General features: G+C 42.6%; 1 protein-coding gene across 6 annotated transcripts in view, besides 1 other annotated feature; it reads left to right on the top strand.

Moving 5' to 3' along the window:
- The window catches only part of FBXL20 (F-box and leucine rich repeat protein 20), a 149,894-nt gene that overhangs the window by 74,763 nt on the left and 56,112 nt on the right, over positions 1-19,019 (top strand). The window lies entirely within an intron of this gene.
- Positions 11,631-11,831: a silencer, noted in NCBI's record as "peak2834 fragment used in MPRA reporter construct". NCBI's record gives its function as "represses an SCP1 promoter by STARR-seq MPRAs in K562 erythroleukemia cells {active_cell/tissue: K562}" and the evidence as "EXISTENCE:reporter gene assay evidence [ECO:0000049][PMID:32103011]".

Below are 19,019 nucleotides of genomic sequence, written 5' to 3'. Positions count from 1 at the left end.
GGGAGGTGGAGCTTGCAGTGAGCCGAGATTGTGCCACTGCACTACAGCCTGGGCGACAGAGCGAGATTCCGTCTTGAAAAAACAAAACAAAACAAAAAAGAAATACATGTTTGGTTGTAGATGTATTTTTTTTAAAGTCTCCTTGTGGATGTACTTTAATAAATATATGGTTTTTGGGGGGTGCGTGTGTACATCTTATGTAATTTTATATCTGCCCATATTTATATCTGTATAGGTGGCTGGATAGATTAAAAACTATGATAATCCTGTTACATAAGCAAACATACCTAGTTCATATTGACACCTCCAATAATATCTAGTTTATTACCTTAGGGTTCATTCTGTCCCTCCTCCTTTCTGTATTTTTTTCTTTCTCCAAGGAAGAAATATAACTCCATAATATGTTTACTTAATCCTAGAAAGCACATAAAGTGATTTACCCATATCACTGTGAAGAAAATCTAATTGGAGCTTATTATTTATCTTTTTTGTTTGCTTTTTGTCTTTAGCCTGATAATACAAAGAAAATATTGAGTTCAGAAGTTAACTTTGAGGCTGGGTATGTTGGTGCATGGCTATAATCCCAACACTTTTAAAGGCCAAGACAGGGCTGGGTGCGGTGGCTCGCGTCTGTAATCCCAGCACTTTGGGAGGCCAAGGCGGGTGGATCATTTGAAGTCAGGAGTTTAAGACTAGCCTGGCCAGCATAGTGAAACGTTGTCTCTACTAAAAATAAAAAAATTAGTGGAGACGAGTGTGGTGGCACATGCCTGTAATCCCAGCTATTCGGGAGGCTGAGGCAGGACAATCACTTGAGCCTGTGAGGCAGAGGTTGTCGTGAGCCAAGATGCTCCACTGCACTCCAGTCTGCGTGACAGAGTGAGATCCTGTTTCAAAAAAAAAAAAAAAAAGCCAAGACAGGAGGATTGTTTGAGGCCAGGAGTTCAAGACCATCCTGGGCAACATAGTGAGAGCCCTGTCTCTACAAAAGCGTGTGTGTATATATGTTAGCCGGGTGTGGTGGCGTGCACCTGTAGTCCTAACTACTTGGGAGGTTGAGACGAGAGGATTGCTTGAGGCCAGGAGTTTGAGGCTGCAGTGAGGTATATGATAGCATCACTGCACTCCAGCCTGGGTGACAGAGCAAGACTCCATCTCTAAAAAATTTTTTTTAAATAGGGTCTTGCTCTGTCACGCAGGCTGGAGTGCATTGGCGTGATTATGGCTCACTGTAGCCTTGATATTCCCAGTCTCAGGTGATCCCCCCACCTCAGCCCTCCTAGTAGCTAGGATCACAGGTGGGTGCCACCACACCCAGCTAATTTTTGTATTTTTTTGTAGAGATGGGTTTTCACCATGTTGCCCAGGCTGGCTTGGAACGCCTGGGATTACAGGTATGAGCCACTGTACCTGACCAAGAATTTTTTTTTAAGTTAACTTTGATTAGTTCTTTAGGTTATTCATTTAGAATATAGTTTGTTTTACTCATTTATTTTCGTATTCAGTTTTGGATTTGTGTCAGTCCGTTTGCATTGCCATAATTAAATACCTGAGACTGGGTAATTTATAAAGAAAAGAGGTTTTTTTTTTTGGCGTATGATTCTGCAGCCTATACCAGAAACTAGCGTCTACTCCTGGTGAGAAGTTAGGAAGTCTCTAATCATGGCAGAAGGCAAAGGGGGAGCTTGCTTATCACATGGCAAGAGAGGAAGAGAGAAAAGAGGGAAGTCCCAGACTCTTAAACAACCAGATCGTGTATGAACAACTGGAGGAGAACTCACTTATGATTAAGGGGGTAGTACTAAGCCATTCATGAGGGATCTGCCCCCATGATCTAATACCTCTCACTAGGTCCCACCTCCAACATTGGGGATCACATTTCAACATGAGACTTGAAGGGGACAAACATTCAAACTATATCAGGATTTTTCTCCTTATCCTTATTCAGTGTATTTTTTTTTAGCAGATAGTTAACTTTGCTGTACCCAAACTGCCTGTCATGGGTGCCAGCTCAAATATAAGTTAAATTCTTTTACCCTTAGCTGCTTGGAGTCTGCCCTGTGCGTGCAGTGTTCAGAGGTCAGTCAGTAATTTGAACAGAATTTATGTTGCCTCACATTGGATCTCTCTACAATTTACAATGTGGTTGCTCCAAATTCTGTTCTCTAGTTTTCCTTTGCAGGTTTCTATCCATTTTCTAAATGTTCTGAGGGTCCCAAATATAACCTGCCCTCAGGATAAATGCTGTAAAACTAGAAATTGTCATTCCCCTCTCCCTTTAATATCTACCTGTTTTTGTTCACTTTCCAATACATTCAGGTGGTAATTTTTAATATTTCATTCCCAATTTATAATTGTACCTGGAAGGTTAGTTCAGTGGAAGCTTACTCAGCCGTGACCAGAAGTGAAACCAATTTTATGTTTGATTATTTAAAACATGTTATTTCAAGAGTCAGATCTGTACAAAAAGGTATTACTTAAAAGATATGTCTCTCCACTCCAACCTTCTTTCTACCCCATTCTCATCCTTCATTTTGAGTCATTTCACAAGAGTTTTGTCTGAGGAATGATTATTACTACTATTTTTTTTGAGACAGGGTCTCTGTCATCCAGGCTGGACTGCAGTGGCACAATCACAGCTTGCTGCAGCCTCAGCTTCCCAGGGTCAGGTGATCCTCTCACCTCAGCCTCCTGAGTAACTAGGACTACAGGTGCCTGCCACCACGCCCGGCTAATTTTTGTATTTTTTGTAGTGACAGAGTTTTGCCATATTCTCCAGGCTGGTCTCAGAACTCCTGAGCTCAAACCCATCCACCTTCCTTGGCACTTCCCAAAGTGCTAGGATTATAGGCGTGAGCCACTGCACTTGGCCTAAAGAATGATTCTTGACCTTGACTTTTTTTGAGTATTAAATCTCAAATGCCATCATTGACATTCATTTTTTATCAGTTGGATTTGGATTAAGAGATTTCATCTTCATCTGGAGATTAGAATTTGTAAGTTAATGATCAAACCTTGCTGCAATGCACTGTTGTCACATTTCTATCCTGATACATTTCACAACTTAATTGGAGGATTAAAAGAGAAATGTCTACTTGTTCTGCAGTTTTCTTTAAAAAAAAATGAATTGCCAAACTCTAAATTCACAATTTTATAAATGTTTTTATAGTAGTTAGGTGATCCCTCTTTAATATTATTAAGAAACACCTGGGCCAGGCGCCATTGCTCACGCCTGTAATCCCAGCACTTTGGGAGGCGGGCAGATCACGTAAGGTCAGGAGTTCGAGACCAGCCTGGCCAACATGGTGAAACCCTGTCTCTACCAAAAATGTAAAAAATTAGCCGGGTGTGGTGGCAAGTGCCTGTAATCCCAGCTACTTGGGAGGCTGAGGCAGGAGAATCGCTTGAACCTGGGAGGTGGAGGTTGTGGTGAGCCGAGATCCTGCCACTGCACTCCAGCCTAGGTGACAGTGTGAGACTCTTGTCTAAAAAAAAAAGAAAAATCACCTGGAGAGAATGTTTAGAAAAGATAGATTCCTGGGTCTCTCACCTAGAGGAATCTGTAGGTCCGAGCTAGGACCCAGGAATCTGCATTTTAATAAGCACTCCAGGTATACTGATGCAGTTGATTCATGAGCCGTTCTTTAGTACACGGTGAAGTGTAAGAATAAGAACTAAATCTTGGGACATGCCTTCATTTGAAAACAGAAGTATAGGCCAGGCACGGTGGCTCACGCCTTTAATCCCAGCACTTTGGGAGGCCAGGGGGTGGGGGGGGGAGGGGGTTGGATCACGAGGTCAGGAGTTCGAGACCAGCCTGGCCAACATGGTGAAACCCCGTCTCTACTAAAAATACAAAAAATAGCCAGGCGTGGTGGCAGGTGCCTGTAATCCCAGCTACTCAGGAGGCTGAGGCAGAGAATTGCTTGAACCTGGGAGGTTGCAGTGAGCCGAGATTGCATCACTGCACTCCAGCCTGGGCGACAGAGCGAGACCCATCTCAAAAAAAAAAAAAGAAAACAGAAGTATACTAAAGACATAACAAGGTGGTGTCTGAGAAGCCAGGAGAAGAGATTCTTAATAAGTAGGGAATGGTCGGTGTGTCCTGTATTTTAAGGGGGTGAGGCTTATTGAAAACTGAAAAAGGCCTTTGAATAGTAAGGCCTTGACAATTAAGTCAGTAGTATTCTTCAAGGTACAATTGCAATTGAGTAAAGACCGGAATTAGATTGTAAAGAAGAAAGAGGTGATGAGAGAAAACCCCCTTCTTAACTGTCCCCACCCATCTTGATCTCATTGTTTCATTACTTTCAATAGCACCTATATTTTCAGGTCACACATTATGTTGCTTAATAAGCTGCCTAGTGTCTACTGTTTTCTTCAACAAGAATATATGCTTCTGAAAAGCAGATATTTTATATTGTTACTGAATTTCCTCTCTGACACAGTACTGGATATAATTAAGAACTTTAGGGACACCTAATGACTTGGCTTTTTCTGGAAAGCTGTGAATTAATGAGGTTAAGGCTGGGTGTGGTGGCTCACACCTGTAATCCCAGCACTTTGGGAGGCCGAGGCGGGCGGATCACGAGGTCAGGAGATCAAGACCATCCTGGCTAACATGGTAAAACCCCATCTCTACTAAAAATACAAAAAATTGGCTGGGCACAGTGGCAGGCGCATGTAGTCTCAGCTACTCGGGAGGCTGAGGCAGGAGAATGGCGTGAACCCTGGAGGCGGAGCTTGCAGTGAGCCGAGATTGTGCCACTGCACTCCAGCCTGGCGACAGAGTGAGACTCTGTCTCAAAAAAAAAAAAAAAAATTAGCTGGGCGTGGTGGCTGGTGCCTGTAGTCCTAGCTACTTGAGAGGCTGAGGCAGGAGAATGGTGTGAACCCGGGAGGCGGAGCTTGCAGTGAGCCGAGATTGCACCACTGCACTCCAGCCTGGATGACAGAGCGAGACTCTGTCTCAAAAAATAAAAAAATAAAATAAATAAATAAAAACATTAATGAGGTTAACTTTTGAGTTTTGTTGTTTGTTTTTTTTATTTCCTATGTGGGTTACAGAAGTAGTTTCATTATTTTACTCATTATAGATATGTGTTCCTATCAAAACATGCTTTACCTATCTGAAAGAGAGAATTCTCACAACCCCCAGTAGTTAACACAGAGTGCTTGAGCATCTGGACAAGGTAAACGGGAGTATTCTACTCATGAGAATTTGTAATCAACTACTCAATATAACGATCCACTTAACTTTTATACACTTCTCAATCTTAGTATTTAGTCAAATTAAAAAATTTTTTAATTAAAAATTTATATGTTCACAGGTATCAGGTTACATACATTTTAATACTCAGTTTATGTATTCACCTTAGATGTTCTGGAGAAACAGCAGCTTTTTGTAAACTTTTTGGGAGTTTAATATGTTGATGCATATGTCATTACCTAAAGAATTTATTTAATTGTAAAACAGCTCACTTCCATATAATTATACATTTGAATATTTTAGTCTGTTAGTCTCAAAGTATTTTAAAAATAATTATTTCCCCACAAAACACATATGCACACATGAAACAACTGAAATTAAGCATGGGGCATGGCTTTTTTTTTTTTTTTTTTTTTTTTTTGGTAGAGATAGTGTCTCACTATGTTTTCCAGGCTGATCACGAACTTCTACCCTCAAGTGATCCTCCTGCCTTGGCCTTCCAGGCATGAGCCACCATGCTCGGCCTAGGCATTTGGTCTTGTGGTTAGTCTTGTAGCAAGACATTATTATTATCAAATCAAGAATTAATTCAAGTTCAAATGAAATATCTACTGCTGGTTCTAACTGGGACAGATTTGAGTATTTATCTTAGAATTACCAATTATTACTGATTTTTTAGGAATATGGTAACTGATTTCCTTGTACTAAATTCAAACATTGAATCAGGTAGTTTCAGTCATAGTACGCTTACTTCAGGAAATGACTATAGCCTGATCAGTTATTTTTGTTTTTTTTTTTTTTTTTGAGACAGAATTTCACTCTTGTTGCCCAGGCTGGAGTGCAATGGCCCAGTCTTGGCTCACTGCAACCTCCACCTCCCAGGTTCAAGCGATTTTCCTGCCTCAGCCTCCCAAGTAGCTGGGATTACAGGCGCCTGCCACCATGCCCAGCTAATTTTTGTATATTTTTAGTAGAGATGAGGTTTTACCATGTTGGCCAGGCTGGTCTCAAACTCCTGACCTCAGGTGATCCACCCACCTCGGCCTCCCAGAATGTTGGGATTACAGGCATGAGTCACCGTGCCTGGCCCTAGACTGATTTTTCTTTTTTTTTTTTTTTTGAGACAGATTCTAGCTCTGTTGCCAGGCTGGAGTGCAATGGTGCAATCTTGGCTCACTGCAACCTCCAACTCCTGGGTTCAACTCCCAGGTTCAACCTCCAACTCCTGCCTCAGCCTCCCGACTAGCTGGGATTACAAGTGCCTGCCACCGTGCCCGGCTAATTTTTGTATTTTTAGTAGAGATGGGGTTTTACTGTGGTGGCCAGGCTGGTCTCAAACTCCTGACCTCGTGATCCACCCACCTTGGCCTCCCAAAGTGCTGGGATTACAAGCGTGAGCCACCGTTCCTGGCTGACTGATTAGTTTTATACAGCATGTCGACTGTGGACTTCAAAAATATACTGGGAGTATTCTTAAGTTTTCACTTATGTTCACTGTATATTTTGGAGCAGAATTGTTTTATAGGCAACCAAGAACTTAACAAATACATACTAGTTTCTTTCAGAGAAAAAAACAAAAAAAGAACTTAGCAAATGCAATCATAAAAATATGAAATAAAGATTTTTATTAAAACTATATATTGTCTTCTGAGTTACGTGTGGCTGTTAGTCACTTTTTGTTGTAGAGTATTCATACTGGGCCGAGCACGGCTTGTAGTCACAGCATTCTGGGAGACCAAGGCCAGTGGATCACTTGAACCCTGGGAGTTTGAGACCAGCCTGGCCAACGTGGTGAAGCCCCATCTCTACAATAAATACAAAAATTAGCCAGATATGGTTGTATTTACCTGTAGTCCCAGCTGCTTGGGAGGCTGAGGCAGGAGAATCGCTTGAGCCTGGGAGGCGGAGGTTGCAGTGAGCCAAGATCTTGCCACTGCACTCCAGTCTGGACAACAGGAGTAAAACTCTATCTCAAAAAAAAAAAAAAAAAAATTCATACTAGACATTCTGGACAGGGCACTATCAGAAATCAGTCTAAGCTTTAATATTTCCATCTGTATAATACAAGTTATATTCAAAAGCCTCTTATGCTAATAGTTATGTGTGAAATATTTAGAGTCAGAAGTTGGTAAACCGTGCTGTGAGGTCAGTATATACCACTTATCTTTTATGCCTCTGTTACTGTCTTCAGGAAGGAGGGAATGGATGAAGGCAGACAGGCAAGTATGATCAAATAGAGATCCACCTCCAAAAATTAAAGGGTTTTTAAAATTTTAAAGTAGCTATAAACATATTTTTTTAATTATTTTTACTTGATACCAAAAAAATTTAAGTTGATTTTTAACAAGGCAAGTATAGATAGTTGATCTACCAAATTTTGCACAGAATTCTTCAAGAGGCAGACAGTATTTGATAAAAAATTATTTGCATATCTATTGTGTCAACAAAGCAAGTTACAAAACTAGTTTATATAAGAAACAAAATCTGTGTGTACGTGTATGTATGTTGTTTGTAGGGACAGAAAATTCATGGGAAAATAAATAAGCAACAGTGACTGTCTCAAGGACAGAAGGGACTTTTTACAGTATGTATATTACCATCTGTGTGTTTTTCAATTAAAATCAGCCCGTCAAAGTAAGTGTAATACACAGTATTAGACTTAGTAAAAGGATTGGCTAGGCACAGTGGCTCATGCTTGCAATCTCAGCACTTTGGGAAGTTGGCGTGGGAGGATTGCTTGAGGCCAGGAGTTCGAGAGCAGCCTGGGCAACAGCGAGACCCGGTCTCTATTTTAAAAATAATAATGAAAAGATTTATGTCCCTGCTGTTCTATTTTTTTTTTTTTTCTGGCCTTCACTACCTCCTCCCAGTTCTGCCCTCTGCTATAGTTTTTTTTTTTTTTTTTTTTTTTGATATGGAGTCTTGCTGTGTTGCCCAGGCCAGATGCTTTCGGCTTACTGCAACCTCTGCCTCCCAGGTTCAAGCAATTGTCCTGCCTCAGCCTCCTGACTAGTTGGGATTACAAGTGCCTACCACCACGCCCAGCTAATTTTTGTATTTTTAGTAGAGATGGGGTTTCACCAAGTTGGCGAGGCTGGCCTCAAACTCCTGACCTTGTGATCCGCCCACCTCGTCCTCCCAAAGTGTTGGGATTACAGGCGTGAGCCACCGTGCCCAGCCCTGCTATCCTTTTTAAATCTCTCTTCATTGGGCTTTAGTGGCCATTTTGTAAGGTAATCTTAGAATGTAGAGTTGCTATTATCTGAAATTTGAAAAACTATCCTTAAACATTAATAATTCTCTGAGAGGCAGAATTCTCTCTCTCTCTTTTTTTTTTGAGATGGAGTCTTGCTCTGTTGCCAGGCTGGAGTGCAGTGATGCGATCTCAACTCGCTGCAACCTCCTACTCCCTGGTTCAAGCGATTCTCCTGCCTCAGCCTTCGAAGTAGCTGGAATTACAGGCATGCTCCACCATGCCCAGCTAATTTTTGTATTTTTAGTAGAGACGGGGTTTCACCATGTTGGCCAGGCTGGTCTCAATCTCCTGACCACGTGATTTGCCTGCCTCGACCTCCCAAAGTGCTGAGATTACAGGCGTGAGCCACCACACCCGGCTCAGAATTCTTTTTAATATTGTCTTGTAATAAAATTTTTGCTGATTGTTAAGTTGGAAATAACAAAGACTTCTCAGTATTTTAATAAGGAGATTTCCGCTTACATTTTGCTATGAGCTTCTTTTTTAGGGAGTTTCTGGGTTTATTTAAGAAGAAGAGGAAGTTGCTTATGAACTATTTCAGCATTATGGTACAGAAGGTTTTTGCTTTGTTTGTTTGTTTGTTTGTTTAAGATGGAGTTTGGCTCTTGTTGCCCAGGCTGGAGTGCAGTGGCATGATCTCGGCTCACTGAAACCTTCGCCTCCCTGGTTCAAGCGATTCTCTTGCCTCAACCTCCTGAGTAGCTAGGATTACAGGCATGCGCCACCAAGCCTGGCTAATGTTGTATTTTTAGTAGAGACAGGGTTTCTCCATGTTCGTCAGGCTGGTCTCGAACTCTCGATCTCAGGTGATCTGCCTGCCTTGGCCTCCCAAAGTGCTGGGATTACAGGCGTGAGCCACCGTGCCTGGCCTGTTTTGTTTTTTTAATTGTGGTAAAATGTTCGTAACAGAAAATTTAGTGGCACAGAACACTTTTAAGGTTAAGGGCTTTCCAAGGACTTGGCTATGTGGAATTCTGATAGTCTTAGACTATTGTTGAGGATTCTTACCACATCCTATCAAAGATGCAGACCAGCTTCTCATTCTTTAGGCATACTCCAAAAACTCAACCTGCCTTCCTTTGTTCTTATCCACTAAAATCTACTCTTTCTCATGGAATTCTTAACTCCAACGAACACAAAAGTAGACAACATGGTATAATGAAACTCCTGTTACCCCACTTCAATAATTGTCAACATTTTGCCAATAAAGCTATCATAGGAATTTTTTTTTATATGGCTTGAGGGCAGGGATTTTACATTCTTCAAATATGAGGTTTCCTAACACCATTTACTAAATAATTCATTATTTTCCTACTAATTTGAAAGTGAGGCCGCGAGCGGTGGCTCACGCCTGTAATCCCAGCACTTTGGGAGGCGAGGAGGGCGGATCACTAGGTCAGGAGATCGAGACCATCCCGGCTAACACGGTGAAACTCCGTCTCTACTAAAAATACAAAAAAATAGCTGGGCGTGGTGGCGTGCACCTGTAGTCCCAGCTGCTGGGGAGGCTGAGGCAGAAGAATGGCGTGAACCTGGGAGGAGGAGCTTGCAGTGAGCCGAGATCGTGCCACTGCACTCCAGCCTGGGTGACAGAGTGAGACTCCGTCTCAAAAAAAAAAAAAAAAAACAAAAAAAAAAACAAAAAAAAAAACAAAGTCAAACTCTCCTATGTATTAAATTCCTACATGTATCTGGGGCCTTTCTGGATGCCCTGTTTTGTTCCATCATTTTTTTTCCTTCTTTATAATCACCATATTATTTGGAATTCAGTAATTTTTGTACATTTTAATAAGCACCTTGGTCGGACACGGTGGATCACGCCTGTAATCCCAGCACTTTGGGAGGCAGAGACGGTCGGATCACGTGGTAAGAAGTTCAAGACCAGCCTGGCCAACATGGTGAAACCCCATCTCTACTAAAAATATAAAAATTAGCCAGGCATGGTGGCACATGCCTGTAATCCCAGCTACTCAGGAGGCTGAGGCAGGAGAATCAGTTGAACCCCGGAAGCGGAGGTTGCAGTGAGCCAAGATAGCACCACTGCACTCCACCCTGGGTGATGGAGTGAGACTCTGTCTCATGGGGGGAAAGAAAAGCAGCTCTTCTTTGTCTTTTTTAATAAGTTCTTGGTGATTTTCACACATTTTTCATCCATATCAACTTCAGAATCAATTTTTTTCGTTAAGCAAAAATCTGTTTGGATTCAATTCATATATTGGACATTTAATCAGGAAATTAAATTACATTGGGAAGTATTGGTATCTTCTAAGATATTAAATTATGCTATCCAAGAACATCTTATGTTTGGTTAATTATTCTTGTCTTCATTTTCTTTTAAATGAGATGGAGTCTCACTCTGTCTCCCAGGCTGGAGCACAGTGGCGCAATCTCCGCTCACTGCAACCTCCGCCTCCCAGGTTCAAGTGCTTCTCATTCCTCAGCCTCCTGCGTAGCTGGGATTACAGGCGCCCAGCACCATGCCCGGCTCATTTTTAGTATTTTCAGTAGAGACGGGCTTTCGCCATGTTGGCCAGGCTGGTCTCGAACTCCTGACCTCAGGTGGCCCACCCCCGCCTTGGCCTCCCAAAGTGCTTGGATTACAGGCGTGAGCCACCGTGCCCAGCCGTCCCATTCTTCTTAAACTTCAGTTTATTAATTTACATCAGTCTGAACTTATGGCTTCCCTTTTTTATTTAGTAAATTGTAATTCATTGCTCTCGTTTGTTTTCATATTCAGGTTGTCCCAGATTTGGCCAGTGGAAGCCCCTTCAAGCTGGTTACCATGACTTTTTGACGTGTCCCCATCATTCTTTGAGCACTCACTTGCTTTCTATCACAAGGTGTTCCAGGCTCATCGTACATTTTCTCTGCCCTATTTCTCCAAGGAGCCCTGATTCCTTCTACTAGAAAGAAATGTTTAGAAGCCAGTATCTGGGAGTTAAATACCATTGCCATTGAGGGGTTATTGCTCCAGGCCCTCTTAGTAGACAGAGCTCGGGGGGAAAGAAAAAAATGTGTGTGTGTGTGTGTGTGTATATGTAGATGAACACGTGTATATATGTACACAATTTACATGTATGTTTATATCTGTATATATTGATAACTATGTTTCTATTAATACACTGATATTTCCAATTCCAATCCAACACTGCATAATTTAGTCTAGTTTTCTCCCTTTCCAGATTCACATCTCCCTTTGTAACAGAAACCTAACTTCTGTTGTGGTTCATGTTTTTTTGTTTTTAGAGATAGGATCTTGCTCTGTTAACCGGGCTAGACTGCAATGGCATGATCACAGCTCCCTGTAACCTTGAACTCTAAGGTTCAAGTGATCCACCTTGGCCTTTCCAAAAGCTGGGATTACAGGCATGAGCCACCTTGCCCATCTTTATTATGGTTAATGTATTTTATTATTTACTCAGTTCCCCTGATTTTAACCAATTTCGCTCTACAGTTGCTCTCTCTCTCTCTCTCTCTCTCTCTCTCTCTCTCTCTCTCTGTCTCTCTCTCTCACTCTCTCTCAAAGATCCCCTCTTCACTTCATTGGGTTTGGGCACTTCATGCCATGCCACCTTCCTCCTGTTGCACGGACAAAGTCCTGCTTGGGTTCTAAAGCCCGCACTAGGTTTATCCTCTGTGTGGATGCCCTTCTCACCTTACTTTGACACTCTACCCAAGGCTGCCCATTCACCCTGCTTGTATCCCAGTATCTCCTGCTAGGTCACCCTCCTCAAGGGTCCTCTCCTCACTCTGCTTGGACTCCGACGTATTGTTCAAGCCTCTGCACCCAACCTCTAACCTGGCATTGATACCTACCTTTCTATGCCCCTCCTAATGGCTTTAGAACTGACTCTTTCAACAAAGGAAAGGAAGAGGAAGAAAACGTGTACCTATATATGTTTTAAAGACATGTACTATATATATATATATATATAAATTATTTAAACTTTGCCCATTAATAATCTTCCCTCCTGAGGTAGTTTGTGAAAACCTTACTAAAAGCGTACTGCTTTCAATAAGCACGTGAAAAGATGCTCAACATCATTAGCCATCAGGGAAATGCCAATCATAACAACAATGGGGTACCAATTCGCACTCCCTAGGATGTCTGTAATCAAAAAGTGTTGTCAAGGATGTGGAGGCCGAGGCAGGCGGATCACCTGAGGTCAGGAATTCGAGACCAGCCTGGCCAACAAGGCGAAACCCTGTCTCTAGTGCAAATACAAAAATTAAGCTGGGCACAGTAGCCCAACCCTGTAATCCCAGTACTTTGGGAGGTTGAGGTGGGCAGATCACTTGAGGTCAGGAGATTGAGACCAGCCTGGCCAACATGGTGAAACCCCGTCTCTACTAAAATACACAAATTAGCCGGGTGTGGTAGTGTACACCTGTAATCCCAGCTACTTGGGAGGCTGAGGCAGGAGAATCGTTTGAACCAGGGAGGTAGAGGTTGCAGTGAGCTGAGATCGTGCCACTGCACTCCAGCCTGGGCAACACAGAGTGAGACTCCATTTCAAAAAAAAAAAAAAAAAAGAAAAGGATATGGAGAAATTAAAACCCTCACAAACTGCTCGTGAGAATGTACACTACAGTGTACACTGGTACAGCCACTGTGGAACACAGCTTGGCAGTTTCTAAAATCTCTAAATATAGAAATACCACATAACTGGCCAGTTGTGATGGCTCACACCTGTAATCCCAGCACTTTGGGAGGCCGAGGCAGGTGGATCACTAGAGGTTGGGAGTTCCAGATCAGCCTGGCTAACATGGTGAAACTCTGTCTCTACTATATATACAAAATTTGTACAGGCACAAGGCTGGATGTGGTTCCTTGTGCCTGTAATCTCAGCTACTCAGGAGGCTGAGGCAGGAGAATCGAATCTGGGAGGAGGAGGTTGCAGTGAACCAGGATGGCGCCACTACAGCCAGGTGACAGCCTGGGTGACAGAGTGAGACTCGTCTCTGAAAAAACAAAAAGCATAATAGCCAAAAAGTTAAAATAACCCAATTGTCCATTAACTGGAGAATGGATACAGTAGGATATTATTCCGCCATAAAAAGGAATGAAGTATGAATACGTGCAACAACATGGATATATTCTTTAAAATGTGCTAAGTGAAAGCCAACACAAAAGTCTTCATTACAGTATTATTCCATTTATATGAAATGTGCGGAATAGGCAAATCTATAGAGAAATAATGTTGATTAGTGGTTGCCAGGAGTTTGGGTGAGGAAGGGATAGAGAGTGACTGCTAATGGGTACAGGGAATCTTTTGAGATTGTTGAAATGTTCTGGAATTACATAGTGGTGATGGTTGCACAACACTGTGAATATACTAAAAAAAATCACCGAATTATGCACTTTAAAGTGTGTATTTTAAAAGATAAATTTTGGGCCGGGCACTGTGGTTCATGCCTGTAATCCCAGCACTTTGAGAGGCCAAGGTGGGCAGATCACTTGAGGTCGGGAGTTGGAGACCAGCCTGACCAACATGGAGAAACCGCATCTCTACTTAAAATACAAAATTAGCTGGGTATGGTGGCGCATGCCTGTAATCCCAGCTACTCGGGAAGCTGAGGCAGGAGAATCGCTTGAACCCAGGAGGTAGAGGTTGCTGTGAGCCGAGATTGTGCCATTGCACTCCAGCCTGGGCAACAAGAGCAAAACTCCGTCTCAAAAAAGTAAAAATAAATAAATGTTTGTTATGAGGGAAAAAAATAATTGCTGTAGTAGCTAAAACCCTGGCAGCCTACCCCACCAATTCTTTTATTTTGGTTTCTAAAGATAATTATCTCGGCTGGGCAAGGTGGCTCACACCTGTAATCCCAGCACTTTGGGAGGCCGAGGCGGGCGGATCACTCGAGGTGAGTAGTTTGAGACCAGCCTGGCCAACATGGCGAAACGCTGTCTCTACTAAAAATACAAAAATTAGCTGGCGTGGTGGCAGGCGCCTGTAATTCCAGCTACTTGGGAGGCTGAGGCAGGAGAATCACTTGAACTAGCGAGGTGGAGGTTGCAGTGATCCGAGATTGCGCCATTGCACCCCAGCCTGGGCAATAGAGTGAGACTCCATCTCAGAAAAAATACAAATTAAGAAAAAAACAAAAAGATGGCCGGGCACTGTGGCTCACACCTGTAATCCCAGTACTTTGGGAGGCCAAGGCAGGCGGATCATGAGGTCAGGAGTTTGCAACCAGCCTGACGAACATGGTGAAACCCCATCTCTACTAAAAATAATAAAATTAGCCAGGCATGATGGTGCGCGCCGGTAATTCCAGCTACTCAGGAGGCTGAGGCAGGAGAATCGCTTGAACCCGGGAGACAGAGGTTGCAGTGAGCCGAGATCGCGCCACTGCAGTCCAGTCTGGGCAACAGGATGCGCCTCCATCTCAAAAAAAAAAAAAAAAAAGTAACTATCTTCATTATCAAATATATGGAATAAATAGAATTTAGGCCGGGCACAGTGGCTCACGCCTGTAATCCCAGCACTTTGGGAGGCTGAGGCAGGCGGATCACGAGGTCAGGAGATGGAGACCATCCTGGCTAACACATTGAAACCCGTCTCTACTAAAAATACAAAAAAAAAATTAGCCAGGCGTGGTGGCAGGTGCCTGTAGTCCCAGCAACTCGGGAGACTGAGGCAGGAGAATGGCGTGAACCCAGGAGGCGGAGCTTGCAGTGAGCCTAGCTTGTGCCACTGCACTCCAGCCCAGGGGACAGAGTGAGACTCCATCTCAAAAAAAAAAAAAAAAAAAAAAAGATAGAATTTAAAGGGTTGCTAAATAATAGCAAATACTTAGACATACTAGATGTAGAGTGGTAGAAGGGATTTAAGTGCTGAGGCTTATATCCATCTTACTAGGGAGCCAGATTAGAACTGTAAAGACTAAGTTCTTACTACTTTTTATTTTTTTGAGATGGAGTATAGGTCTGTCTCCCAGGCTGGAGTGCAGTGGCACAATCTCGGCTCACTGCAACCTCCATCACCTGGGTTCAAGCGATTCTCCTGCCTCAGCCTCCCGATAGCTGTGATTAGAGGTGCCTGCCACCACACCCAGCTAATTTTTGTATGTTTAGTAGAGATGGGGTTTTACTGTGTTGGCCAGGCTGGTCTCAAACTCCTGACCTTGTGATCCGCCTGCCTCGGCCTCCTAAAGTGCTGGGATTACAGGCGTGAGCCACCATGCCCGGCCAGTTCTTACTACTTTAATAGAGGAACATAGTGACTATATTTGTCTTCTCCTCTTAATTTTTTAAATGCTCTAAAACGTTCAAATCCAAGTGAAAAGCTAACTCAATGACATCTTAATACTTAGAACCCCTTCAGGACATTCTAAGAACAGAATTAGGATTGTTGAGATGTGTGTTTAATGGTACTCCTAAGTCTGCACACATCTGACTACCAACCTGATGTTTCATGTCTGTCTATTGTGCTTTATTTCATAGAGAACCTTTCTCTTGAAAGGTTACTAAAGTCTAATTAGGATCATTGCTTGTAAAGCCTCTCACCTGTGACTCCTGCCACCCCCATATAATATTTATAAAAATTGCTCAGGAGTTAGTGATGTTTTGGCAAACCTAAGAATCTTTAGATTATGAAGCTCCTCATAAAAGTACAGTTTAGTGAATGACAGGAAAAAGCAGCAGCATTTCATCAATGTAATGTTTGTTACATTAGATAAATTTTTTGTTTTGGGAATTGAGTTACCTAGATTGGAAGTATATATGTTTATTTGGGAGTGGAGTTGGATAATCAATATTGAAGAAGATAGAAAATTTATTAAGGAGAACCATCAGGGTGGTAGCAAATTTGTCTCAAGGGAAGAAGAAAGACATACAACCTTTCCTGGTTATTTGATACCCTCCCTTGCCTGCCACTTAGAAACTGAAAAGGAAAAGAAAAAAGAGTCTTAATAGAGAACCCAGGTAAGACTTGGAAACAAAGAGATGAAAAATAAGAAAAAATCAGAAATGCTTAAAAGGACAGTAAAGTGTAATGAAAGAAGGGAAAATAAATAATATGACAGGTAAGGAGAAGATAAAATACTGCAGCAGCTAAATTTAAAAGCCAAAAGTTTTGTTACTGAGCAAAAGAGGCTTGCTGCTTGATGCACTCAAAACTAATATTGTGACACGGGGTTTTGTTTTTTTGTTTGTTTTTTAGAAACAGGCTTACTCTGTTGTCCAGGCCAGAGTGCAGTGGCATAATCATAGCTCACTGCAACCTCGTACTCCTGGGTTCAAGTGATCCTCCCACCTTGGCCTCTGGAGTAGCTGGGGCTACATATACGTGCATACCACCATGCGCAGCTGATTTTTTGTGTGTTTTTTTTTTAATTTTTGAGAGAGAGTCTCACTTTGTTGCCTAGGCTGGAGTGCAGTGGCGCGATCTCAGTTCACTGCAACCTCTGCCCCCCTGGGTTCAAGCGATTCTTCTGCCTCAGCCTCCCAAGTAGCTGAGATTACAGGCGTGTGCCACCATGCCTGACTAATTTTTGTATTTTAGTAGAGACTGGGTTTCACCATGTTGATCAGGTTGGTCTTGAGCTCCTGACCTCAAGTGATCCATCCACCTTGGCCTCCCAAAGTGCTGGGATTACAGGCTTGAGCCACCAAGCCCAGCCTAATTTTTGTGTTTTTTTGTAGAGATAGGGTCTCACCGTGTTGCCCAGGCTGGTCTCAACCTCCAGGGCTCAAGTAATCCTCCTTGCCTTAGCCTCCCAAAGTGCTGGGGTTATAGGCATGAGCCACTGTGCCTACCCGACACTGAGTTTTTGAGTAAAGGAAAGATTTTTATTGCAAGTCGACTAACACGTAGACAGGAGTCCAGCTCAAATCTGTTGCCCTGTGCTGGCTTTAATGCACTAATTTTATTAGAAAAGGTTTAGGGGATGAATTCTTAGATTAGGTAACTGGCGGAAGGAAAGGGGAGGTCTGGAAAGTCTTCAGGCATGCATGGCTGTCTTTTCATGCTACGTCATGGATTGCATGTGCAAATTCAGGGGAAGTTAGTATGAAACGTGATGGAAATTCTAGCTGTGACATCGGCAAACTGGTTCTATGCAGACTCCAGTTGGACACATTGGTTCCAGCTGATGTCACCCAGTTTTGTGATCTTACAAGCAGAAGGAGTTTCAGCAAGTTGTTTCGTTTCTTTTCTTTTTTTTTTTTTTTAAATTTGTAGACAGGGTCTCATTCTGTCACTGGAGTGCAGTGGGGCGATCTCAGCTCACTGCAACCTCTGTTTCCTTGATTCAAACAATCCTCCCGCCTCAGCCTCCCGAGTAACTGAGGCTACAGGCACACGCCACCACACCCAGGTAGTTTGTATTTTTTGTAGAGACATGGTTTTGCCCTGTTGCCCAGGCTGGTCTTGAACTCATGGGCTCAGTCTCAATCTGTCTGCTCTCTTCAGCCTCCCAAAATGCTGGGATTACAGGTGTGAGCCACCACACCTGGCCTAAGTTGTTTTTTCTTGTTCTTCTTCTTTTTTTTCTTTCTCTTTTCTTTATTTTTCTTTTCTTTTTTTTTTTTTTGAGATGGAGTCTCACTCTGTCACCTAGGCTGGAGTGCAGCGGCATGATCTCGGCTCACTGCAACCTGCGCCTCGCAGGTTCAAACAAATCTCCTGTGCAAGTAGCTGGGATTACAGCGTACACCACCACGCCTGGCTAATTTTTGTATTTTAGTAGAGACGGGGTTTCGCCATATTGGCCAGGCTGGTCTCGAACTCCTGACCTCAGGTGATCCAGCTGTCTCGCACCATTGCACTCCAGCCTGGGCAACAGAGCAAAAACTCTGTCTCTAAATAAATAAATAAAATAAAAATAATAGACAAACAGCAGGTACAGACCTTGACAAGAAGGAAGAGAAATCTCAGCATGTATAGAAGTATAAGTCCTAGTTTAAGTAATCCTTCAAAAATAGATCTTATTCCTGATGGGATCCATGAAAACAAGGTTTTAAATATATATATCCAGGTTTGTTAGAGGCCACTGTTAGAGATAATTCAGGACTCAGTCTGAATTATAGACGATAACTCAAAAACAGTGGTCGGGGTTGGAATCTGATACAAGGTATAGTTTTCTTTAGAAGCATAATATTTTTCTCTTCAGTCCCTTATTTCTATCAGAGACAAATTGTAGTAATCAATTTGTGTGCAAAGTAACTTTTAGTCCTATTATATCTGGCCTGATTATTTGCATAAAGTGCAACAAGAATAGTGATTGGCCATATAGACCCTTTTTAAAAAAAATGGCTTTGCTGGAACTTTTTAATAAGGAATCCTAGACTTTTAAAAGCCTCAAGGCTTTTACTAAAATACAAAAATTAGTCAGGCGTGGTGGCACATGCCTGTAATCTCAGCTACTTGGGAGGCTGAGGCAGAAGCCTCAAGGCTATGCCTATAATACTTGTATGAATGGGTGTATTCCTCTCTACCTTTTAAAAAATTTTTTATTGTAGGCCAGGTGCGGTGGCTCACTCCTGTAATCCCAGCACTTTGGGAGGCTGAGGCGGGTGGATCAGGAAGCCAGGAGATTGAGACCATCCTG

This window comes from Homo sapiens, chromosome 17 (assembly GCF_000001405.40).
Source record: "Homo sapiens chromosome 17, GRCh38.p14 Primary Assembly".
In the NCBI taxonomy this organism is placed as follows: domain Eukaryota; kingdom Metazoa; phylum Chordata; class Mammalia; order Primates; family Hominidae; genus Homo; species Homo sapiens.
This window is presented reverse-complemented; position numbering and strand designations above follow the sequence as displayed.